Source organism: Homo sapiens, chromosome 4, assembly GCF_000001405.40.
Source record: "Homo sapiens chromosome 4, GRCh38.p14 Primary Assembly".
In the NCBI taxonomy this organism is placed as follows: Eukaryota; Metazoa; Chordata; class Mammalia; order Primates; family Hominidae; genus Homo; species Homo sapiens.
The window spans coordinates 7244617-7255091 of record NC_000004.12 but is presented as its reverse complement, the minus strand read 5'-3'; the positions used below and the strand labels follow the sequence as shown (position 1 = coordinate 7255091).

Sequence of the window (10475 nt, the reverse complement as noted above, 5' to 3'; positions counted from 1 at the left end):
GCCTTCTGGACTCTGTCACACTCTCTCACGCACGCTCACACACTCACTCTCACACACTCATGCTCACACACATGCTCACATACTCATCTGTGCACAGCAGACACCTCCCACCCATGCTCTCCCCGTTGCCCATGCTTGGGCTGCAGATGTAGCATCGGATGCCCTGGGACCTCATGGGAACACAGCCGGCCCAAACCTGCTGAGTCAGATCTGCACTCTGACAGGTCCCCGGGGGCTGTGTGCATGGAGATGTGAGAGACTCTGCTCTCAACAGCACTGCACAGTCACTGTTATTAGAATCCTCCTGATGCAGAACCCGAGGTCCAAGCAGGCCCAGTCACCGGCCCAAGCCCATACAGCCAGCACTGCTCAGAGCATCCAAAGTCACGTCCATGGAATTCCCAAGGCCCTGGGTGTCAGCCCGCCCCTCTTTTTTTCCTTTTTATTTGTACAGATTTATAGGGCACATGTGCAATTTTGTTATACACATAGATGGTATAGTGGGTGTATCCATCACCCAAATAATGTACATTATACCCATTGACCAACTTGTCATCATGCTCCTGCCACCCATCCGAGTCTCCACTGTCTATCACTCCACACTCATAAGTCCATGGACACACACTTCTTAGTACCCACTTATGAGTGAGATCATGCTATATCTGACTCTCTGTACCTTGCTTGTTTCACTTAAGATAATGATTTCCAGCTCCATCTATGTTGCTGCAAAAGATATGCTTTCATACTTTTTTATGGCAGAATAGTATTCCATGGTGTGTCTAGACCACATTTCCTTTATCCATTCATCATGGATGGACACTTAGTTTGATTCTATATCTTTGCTGCTGTGAACAGTGCTGCAATACACATACGAATAGGTATATTTTTGATGCACTGATCCTTTCCTTCGGGTAGATGCTCAATAGTAGCATTGCTGGAGCTAATGATTGTTCTATTTTTAGCACTTTGAGAAATCCCCATACTGTTTTCCACAGTGGCTGAACTAATTTACATTCCCACCAACGGTGCCTAAGAGTTCCCTCTTCTCTGCATCCATGCCAACATCTGTTACTTTTTGTCTTTTTAATACTAGCCATTCTGACTGGGGTGAGATGATATCTTATTGTGGTTTTGATTTGGATTTCTCTGATGAAGAGCAATGCTGAGATTTTTTTCATATAACTCTTACCCTGGAGAACAAAGCTGCCTGGGACCCGGGTCACAAGGAACCAGCACCTAGCTGCAGGAAGAGGCAAATTCCATCCACGGAATCCCGTGACTTCTTCAGGAGGTGGATTCAGTGCGTGTACCCTCCTGCAAGGCAGGGGCCTCCTGCCCACCTGGAGGGGCTGCCTTGCCAGCACATCCTCCCTGGCCCCTCAGGAGCTGGGCACCTCTCACCATAGAGCACTGCCTTCACAGCCTGGCTCATGCCACCTCCTCCCCAGTGACCCTGTGGGCCCCTGAATCCTTCCTATGACACCACCTCATCTGGGAGGGAGCTGGGGGCGCCCTGGCCACCTGCCCCCTGGACACCTCCTCCGCCCCGGCACTCAGTGGGGGAACAAAGGCAGGCACCAGAGGGGTCCTCGTGCACCCCTGCAGGGAACACCATCCCTCTTCTGTAGTGCCTTCGCTGGGCCTGGAATGAGCTACAGATCCCTAATGAGAACAGGGGGACGGCCCGTGTCACTGCTCAGAATAAACTGAATATGTCATAGGCAATGGACCAGAGGCAGGCAGGGACACAGGGCCACAGATTCAGGATGGAGCCTTGGGGCCCTGGACCCCAGAGCTGCCCCAGGGTCTCTCCTCCCCGGCGAGGCTCAGGTTGTCCCTGCAGCAAACCTTGTTGGGAGGGCTCCTGGGGACAAGGGAGTCTGAGACAGGGATGGCGATAAGACCTGGCATCCTTAGCCCGGCTGCTCAGGAGACCTCAAAGGCCGGGACGGCCAGGCTTTGTGATCACCAGGACACCCTTGATCCTCCAGGTGCCTCTTGAATTAGGAAAAACCAGCCATGGGGGGCTGAGCCCAGCTGGGGGATTCAGGGGCTGAGTCCAGGCAGTGTCAGGGGTCCAAGCTGTGGCCTCTGTCCCAAATGCTGGCTCTGAGCTGGGACAGTCATGCAGCTTCCTGAGGCTCCATCTGGGGAACAGAGATAACGCCACGTACCCAGCCAGCTAAGGGGGATTTTCCATTCGACAGTTTCAATTTTTTCTAAACGGAATGCAATAATGATTTTGGATTGCCACTCATGAGGAACCAGGCTGGTTGGAGATTTTCATCTATAATAATTTTTAGAAGCCTCATCTGTTTGGGGTTTAGGTGAGGAAGGGCCCTCCATGCCTGCAACAGTCCTGGCTGACGCCTGTCAGACCGGCACAATGCCAATCCCTCCCGCACCCCCAGCCCCTCTCAGAAGCATCCTGGTTTGGGTGATGAATTGCACGGTCACTCAGGGCTTGTGAAGGTGGAGCTAATAAAGAGTCGCTGTCTGGTGCAAAGACATTTGGGGAAGTATGTAGAGCCTTTATTTTCAAAAGTCAAATCACTCTATTATTTCTTTTGTGTTATAAAAGTAACACATGTTCAATGAAAAAGTTCAACCATCATAGGAACATTCCAAAAAAAGAGAAGGGGGTGAGAAGCACGGACCACCCTCCTGGCCAGCCCCCAGAGTCTTGCGGTTTGCTCTAAACCCATGCACTGCCGGCCCCTGAGCTCTGCCCTGCCCCACCCGGGCCCATCCTGCCCACACCTGGCCCCAGCATGCCCTCCCTCCCAGCCACACTGGCCCCTCAGTTCCTGCAGTTTCCTCCCCCAGAGCCCCTGCTCACCCTCTCTCTGGAAGACCCTGCCCTCCCACTCTCCTGCCTCGGGCCTCCTTGGCGACTCCCCAGCCTCCACAAGTGCTGAGGCCCCCCAGATGCCAGGTAGTATCTCAGCTCTGCAACATGACTCAGGCCAGGGGTGAGGGGCTCACTGCTGAGGGTGGTACTGCAGGGGTCAGGGAGTTGAGTGACTCGAGGCCTTCCCAGACCCTTTTCCACCTTGCAAGTGATATGACTGGCACCATACGTTTAGAGGAGGCTCAGCCAGAGGGGTGTGTGTCATAAGTACTGGCCGCTGTCATCATTAGGTCCTGCCCCCAGAATGTGGGATGCCCAGTCCCTGCTTTCCCCTTTCTCCTTGCCACCCAAACCCAATTCTGTCCCGGATGCAATGTGCTCAGCTGAGACACCTGCTTCCTGGACTCCAAAGGAGCTGTAGAGGTGGCCATGTGATCCAGCTGCGACCAACAAGACATAAGCAAAGTCACATGGTGGGGGTTCTGGGATCGCTTTTTAAAAAACCTTGTCTCTGGAGGACTTCTCACCTCCCCATCCCCTTCTTCCTGCCTGGAATGCAGACGTGATGCCTGGGAGTGTGGCAGATCCTATCATACCCATTTACCCAAAGGGACACTGAGGCTTAGGCAGGAGCGCACTCCCTCCCAGAGCCACAGAACCTGTGAAAGTGTCAGAGCCAAGGTCAGAATCCTGGTCATCTTGATCCAGTACTTGCTTGCTATCATGTTGCAATAACTCCTAGTCTTGAGAACAGCACATTACGGCTTACAGTGAGCCCTCCTGTACACTACAATGTGAGATGTTCTAACAACTGGACAAGGTGAAAATCAGTCCTGGTCCCCCCAACCCTCTCTCCACGTTTTGAATATTCGTATGTATATTTGTTTTAATTTAAAAAATTTGTTCAATTCCCTAATAAAATTTTATGATGACTCCTTACTACCTCCAGAGCAAATCCCTTAGCAGAGACCAGAGAGCAAGAAAAGAGGCAGAGCTCAGAAGGCATTGTTTGAGCCCCTGGAACAAGCCACACCTGAAGCTGGCCACTACCCTTGAAACTTTCCATGATGCAAAGTCATATATAGTCCTCTTTTCTTCTCATGCTACTTTGAATTGGGCTTCAGTCACCTGCAAATCAAAGGCTATTATCCCAATGCACCCATTTTACAGACAAGGATACTGGGACCCACAGAGCTCTGTCTTAGCCCAAGTCACCCAGTCTTTGGTGGCAGACAGGGACAAGAATTCTACCCTCCTAATGCCCACTCCAGCGTCCTCACCAGAATTCCTCGTTGCCTCTGGTGGCTGGCCCTGCGCCCACTGGCCAGCCTGCCCTGGTGTCGTGGCGGTTCCGGCAACGAGTCCATATTAAAAGGCCCCGTTCTTCTCGCCTTCAGCGAAAGCCTGGGTTTCTCCTATTAAGTAACAAAGTGAAAGGGAACCCACTGTTCTTGGCAGACACAGTCCACTTTCAAGCAGCCCCAACTGCAGCCGCAAAAGCGCTGCCTGCCCAGCTGTTCCTCGGCCTCGCCTCTTTGTACCCTGACACCTCGCACTCCCCGAATACATGAAAGACCCCAAGGCCGGTTGAGTCTGTCCTTTTCTTGTTCATACACAAATGGCCTCAACATCTGCCTCTCAGCCGGGGAGACCTGCAGAATATCACGGGACGCTGGGAACGTAGTTATTCCACAGGATCCAACGATATGTCTCAGGGACATAAATCTTGGAAAGTCTCTATGGAAACATACAAAAATGCATGTTGTTTTTATTAATACTCACAACGAAATGTCTCTGGAATAAGCTGGCTGACTTGAAACCACACCAGAAGAGCCAGCGTGTTTCCCGTTAAAGGGGATCCGTGGGGGTTTTTTAAATGACGCATAGAGCAGCCTGCAGAAAAGAAACCTTCAAAGACAAAGAGGCCCAGGTGGTGGGAGAATTGCTGATGGAAGCAGGCCTTCACCTTCTTTCTTTCTTTCTTTCTTTCTTTCTTTTTAGACAGAGCCCTCGCTCAATCACCCAGGCTGGAGGGCAGTGGCGCGATCTCAGGTCACTGCAACCTCCGCCTCCCGGGTTCAAGTGATTTTCCTGCCTCAGCCTCCTGAGAAGCTGGGACAACAGGTGCATGCCACCACACCTGGCTAATTTTTGTATTTTTAGTAGAGATGGGGTTTCACCATGTTGGCCAGACTGGTCTCAAACTCCTGGCCTCAAGTGATTCACCCGCCTCGGCCTCCCAAAGTGTTAGGATTACAAGCACGAGCCACCGCGTCCAGCCTACCCCTCTTTCTTAGAGAAGACTCACTCCTGCCTCAGCCTGCTGAGGGCATGCTCACACGCACCGTGGGCCCTGCTCAGGGGCCACATAGAGCAAATCTGAGTGGATAAATCCAGCTTTTACCAGAGAGAGGAAACCTGCGGGTCCTGGCATCTTTTTTCTTGTCGTCTATACTGCACATGTCAATACCGCAGGAGGGGAAGGGAGTTCTGTGTTTGAATCCAGCTCCACCACGTGCTTTGTGCGAGGGCTTGAGCAAGTTACTTCCCCGTCCACCTTTAGTTCCTCATCTGTAAAATGGGGACTGTGATAGTCCCATCTACCAGGATGTCACAGAGGCATGAATGAAGTGACACAGAAAAGCCCCTAGACAAGGACCTGGCGCCCTAGAAGCCCTCACAAATGACAGTGGCACAGTAAGGATGGCCACAAATTCTCTGATACTCCTCTCATCAAAAGGTGAATATGTCCCCTCCCCTTGAACCTGGGCTTGCTCTGCAACTTCTCGGCCCACAGAAGACAGCTGAAGGGACACTGTGCCAGCTTCTGGTTTCAGCCTTAAGACATAGGTGGCTTCCACTTTTTTTTCCACTTCCACTCTTGGAACAGTCACTCTTGGGACCACCATGCTGTGAGGAAGCCCAAGCCACATGAAGAGGCTGCAGGAGAGAGAGTGACACCAGCCAGTCCCAAGCTCTTCCAGCCATTCCAGCCCAGGTACTTAAAATGTCAGTGAAGAAACCAGCTTGGACACCCAGCCCGGTTGAGCCTCAAAGGACTCCAGTCCCAGCCACCATCTGAACACAAGCAAGCAAGAACTATTCAGGGGATCCAGTTAACCCATATAACCATGAGATAATAGAATATGATTCTTTTAAGCCACTGAGATTTGGGGCTGTTTGTTACTGCAGCACTATCTACCTATCCTGACTGATACAAACTGCATAATCCCACATACCAGTGCCAAACTGACTTACAGTAAAAATCAAGGGGCCCATGATACTTCTGGCTAAAACCCTGCTGGCCTAATCCAATGGCTCATCAAGTCCCCATCCCTACAGTGCCAGACACAAGCTCTCAGGGTTCCCACCCCCTGAGCTATCCTCATACCCTGGCCTAACACAGAAGCCAGCCTTTCTCAGGCCACGAATGGAATTCTCCAATCTCTGGAACATTTGTCTTCTTAAGGTGATCAGTTATTTTTGCCAAAGTCTGATTAAAGCATTGGGCTTCAAATATTATAATTACTAAAAAAGTAGTGTACACCCGGAAAGAGGAATAAAATCGAATAAAGAACAAGGACCTTAAAAAATAGACTAGTCAAATTCTGTCCTTTCACAGATGAGAAAACTGAGAATGAGACAAGACAGGCACACAGCCCAGGGTCACACACGATGACAGTGATCATCACTACTGTTCCAGAAGGCTTTTGGCAGGCCAGGCACTTCACAGATTCTGTCTTCAATTCTCACAGGACACTGGCACGGAAAGGTCATCATCTTCTTTATTACAGATGAGGAATTGGAGGTCCAGAGAGGTTAAGTAACTTGACCAAAGTCACACAGCTAGGACACGCACCTGGTGTGGTGATTATAATGTCTGAATCCATCCCAGGGCCCCCCCACGGTGACCTGTACACCTGCAGAAGGAGTTGCCGGCCTGGAACCTTAGCGTGTGTAGAGCACTCTCCAACTGACAAAACACCCTCCACACACAGCCTCTCAGCTGAGCCCCGCAAGGACCCCATGCGATCATGGAATCACCAGCTTTCCCGAGAGCAGCCTGGGGTTGTGTAGCCTCCCTCGGTAGGGGGGCCACACACAGTCGGTGGCTAAGCTGGGATCCGGGCTCAGGCCCGGCCAGACCTTTCATGAAACCCATGGCCCCCGGGGCTGTGTGTATGATGGGGCTCGGCTCTCAGGTGGGGAAGACACCCTGCTCCCTTGACACCCCTTCCCAGGGCTGTCCCTTCCCCAGAGGGACTCTTCCTGTCATACATGGAGTAAGGAGTTTGGGGGGATCCCGTTGCTGACAGGACAGAGTCGCGCCCTCCTAGGATCTGAGTGGGAGCTGTCACCAGGGTGCAGGCCTTCCGCCTCTGCTCAGCACTTTCCCACCCACCAGCTTATCTGACCACGCAGTGGTCCTCCAAGGCGGCTTCCCCAGGAAACATCACCTGCATCCCCAGTTCAAAGATGAGGAGCTGGGGCTCAGCAAAGAAGCAGGCCCCTCGCCAGGGTCGCCAGGTCCCCCAGGCCGCGCCCCGCTGCCCACCTCCAGCACTCTCGTAGCCTTGGCTTTGACATCCACCAAAACAAAAAGCGCTGCCCCTCCCGTCCCTCCAGCAACCCTAACACGCCCTGTTTATGTTCCAAATCCTCCACAGAAAACGCACAGGAATAGTCCTCATGAAGATTAACAAACTTGCTTCTTTGCTTTGTTTTACGATGCCGTTTATGGTTGGCCAAACAACCAAAACCCTGCAAGTGTTGACAAAATGTTTTTCATTATATTTTAAAGGAATGTTTAGGTACAAATATTGCATTGTTTATTCATTCCAATAATTTTCTCTTCTAAGTATTCCACTGAAAACCAGATAATGGATTTCATTACCCAGAAACAGTAAAGCCTCCAATAAAGGCAAAAAAAAAAAAATTAAAGATAGAAACATCCGTTTACAGTATGTAATTCTTAGTCACATTGGGCTGCAATGAAAACACATCATGGGTGGTTGAAGCCTTCCTAATTCTGTACTCAGGCCACACCACACTCCCGTGCTCCTACCTGCCACACCTGGGGTCTTGTTGGTGACCCCTGGGCTCAGAAAGCAACTGTGGACATGTGAAGGCCTAATCAGGTCAGGTAGGCCCACTGCTCCCCTCACCAAACATCTCACTGGCCTTCTCACCTTGGCTTGTTATGCAGACACTTCCTGAGCCCCTGTAAAGGCACAGAGGGCCAGGAGGGAGAGGAACCCACTTCTAGCTGGGGAATAAGGAAGGGGACCCTGGAGGAGGAGGCAAGCGGGTAGAGCCTGGACGGAGGGAGGACTGTGCCTCCAGAGATGGCAGGAGGCTGTGGGGAGGTGGAGAGTTGCTGGTGGAAGGCACAGCCGAGTCACGGCGAAAGAGTTCCAGGCCCTCATCATGGCCATCGTGTGCACACTCCACATCCAAAGCGCACGCTCACAGCTCATGAGGAGCATCTCTCACCAGGGAAGGGAAGGCTCGGATCTCAGAGTGCAGATTCCCCAGCCCCATCTCCCTCCAGATGCTACCTGGCTCTTCCCATCACTGCTCCTTTGGATTAGAGCAGCAAAGGCCCAAGGCAACATGGGAACAGAAACCCCAGTCCCTGGCACCAACACTTTGGCTTTGAGCCACAGACAAGATCTGTGGTTCATTTAAGCCCTGAGTGAGATCTGTGGGTTCATTTAAGCCCCAGGTGAGATGTGTGGGTTCATTTAAGCCCCAGGTGAGACGTGTGGGTTCATTTAAGCCCCAGGTGAGATGTGTGGGTTCATTTAAGCCCCGAGTGAGATGTGTGGGTTCATTTAAGCCCCGGGTGAGATCTGCGGGTTCATTTAAGCCCTGGGTGAGATCTGTGGGTTCATTTAAGCCATAATAACACCCTGGAGGGATCCGGATGTGTTTGGTCAGAGTGCCAAAGGGCACAGGTGGATGGGGGTTCCTTACATGGATGTGACCAGGTACCCAGAATCCAGGGGAACATGTGTTGGGACACAGAGGACCCAGGCCATAGAATGATGCAGCACTCACGTGTGCATTTTCTGCACGGCTGTGGCTGCTGTCAGTACTCACCCAGGACTGAAATTGCATAGTGTGGAATGACTGCTAAGTTGCATGAAGCCCCCTTAAACTGGAGTCTCAGGGAATTCCCAGATACCCAGGGATTTGGCACAATCCCTTTCTGACTGACAGAACCAGGCATCAAGGCAAAATGCACCCCGGGAGTATCACGGCAAGGCTGGGTACCAAACGCCGCCAGTCTGTGACATGCAACATTGCATTTACTCTTAGCACTTGAGCCCAGCTGGGCAACCCTGAACAAGTCAGTTGCCATCTCTGAAAGTCAGTTTCCTCATCTGTAAAGGGGGAGTTGTCCTGCCTGCCCTTCACTCCTCACGGCAGGGACAGCACCCATGTCCCTAAACCCCAGGCTGGGACTCATCTCTCCACCCAGCAGAGGGTCACTGATTTCAGTTCTACACTCACCAAGCGCTTGCCCCACATCAGGCTCCGCTCTGGGCACTGGAGCTGGGGGCGACCATAACACCACCACCACCAATAGCAATGGCTGACACTCTCGCGTCTGTGCACATTTGAAATCTTCACCACGACCTTGCACTGGGAGGCACTAACATTGGTCCCACTTCACAGATGGAGAAACCAAAGACCCTGAGGAATCATCCGAGGCCACGCAACTAGCAAGAGCCAGAGTGGAATCCAGGTCTTTCTGACTCTAAAGCCCAAGTTATTTCAGAAAGAAATTACATCAGACTGTGCTAACCTAATTGTTCCACCAGAAAAATTCCATATCAGTCCTGAAACGGGCATCCCGGAGGAGCAAGGAGCTCCAGGCCACCTCCGGTGTGCAGCAGGGATGAGAACCGCATGTCCACATCCATGGCGCACCAGGTCCAGGTAAGCCAAGCCGGGGTGGGGGGTGGACCACTGTGGCTTTGCCTGTTTTCTACCCAAAGAGACCCTGTTGGAGGAGGTAACCAGCTGGGGAGGGTAGGGAGGTGACTGGGACCAGAAGGGACCTGCATCCAGGCTCCTGCAGCTTCCAGGGGGAAGGGGGAAGAAGCGGCCCAGCCTCCCGCCCACTCTCACTGTCCACACCCCATTGGTTTGCCAGGAGACAGGACCCTCGGCCCCATCCACGCTTGCTGAACTCTGAGCTCACTGGGCCCAGGTAGGCGGCCACCTTGGGTTCCCATGGTGGCTTACTCCACCCCCCTCCAGCCACCCCCCTTCCAACTGCCCACTTCTCAGCCAATTGGCCAAGGAAGGGGCGGCGGGCTGGGCTGGGTACTCAGGTCCAGCCTCGCTGACTGGCATATTAAGCACACACTCCCTCACCAAGATTCTGAAAACCCTGCTCTTGAGCAGAACAAAAGCTGCTGAGCAGCCTGTCCCGGCTGCAGCCTCCTTTTCCCAATGGCCGAAAACAGTTCACCCCTAATTGTTTAAACAAGAGTTGGGGGAGGTAGGTGGGAGTCAGGGTAGGAATGGGTGAGAGTGTCAGAGTAGGGGCAACCGCACAGAGTGGGGTCTGCTGGGCCTTCAGTCTTCCCAGGGGGATTCCAGGGGGCCCTCA

General features: G+C 52.4%; 1 protein-coding gene across 8 annotated transcripts in view, besides 1 other annotated feature; it reads right to left on the bottom strand.

The window, feature by feature from the left end:
- SORCS2 (sortilin related VPS10 domain containing receptor 2) overlaps window positions 1-10475 on the bottom strand; it is a 550290-nt gene that overhangs the window by 487736 nt on the left and 52079 nt on the right. The gene's annotated exons all lie outside the window — the stretch shown is intronic.
- Window positions 9919-10419: an enhancer, noted in NCBI's record as "H3K4me1 hESC enhancer chr4:7246400-7246900 (GRCh37/hg19 assembly coordinates)". NCBI's record gives its function as "activates a minimal SCP1, AML or CMV promoter by ChIP-STARR-seq in primed H9 embryonic stem cells {active_cell/tissue: H9 hESC(primed)}" and the evidence as "EXISTENCE:reporter gene assay evidence [ECO:0000049][PMID:30033119]".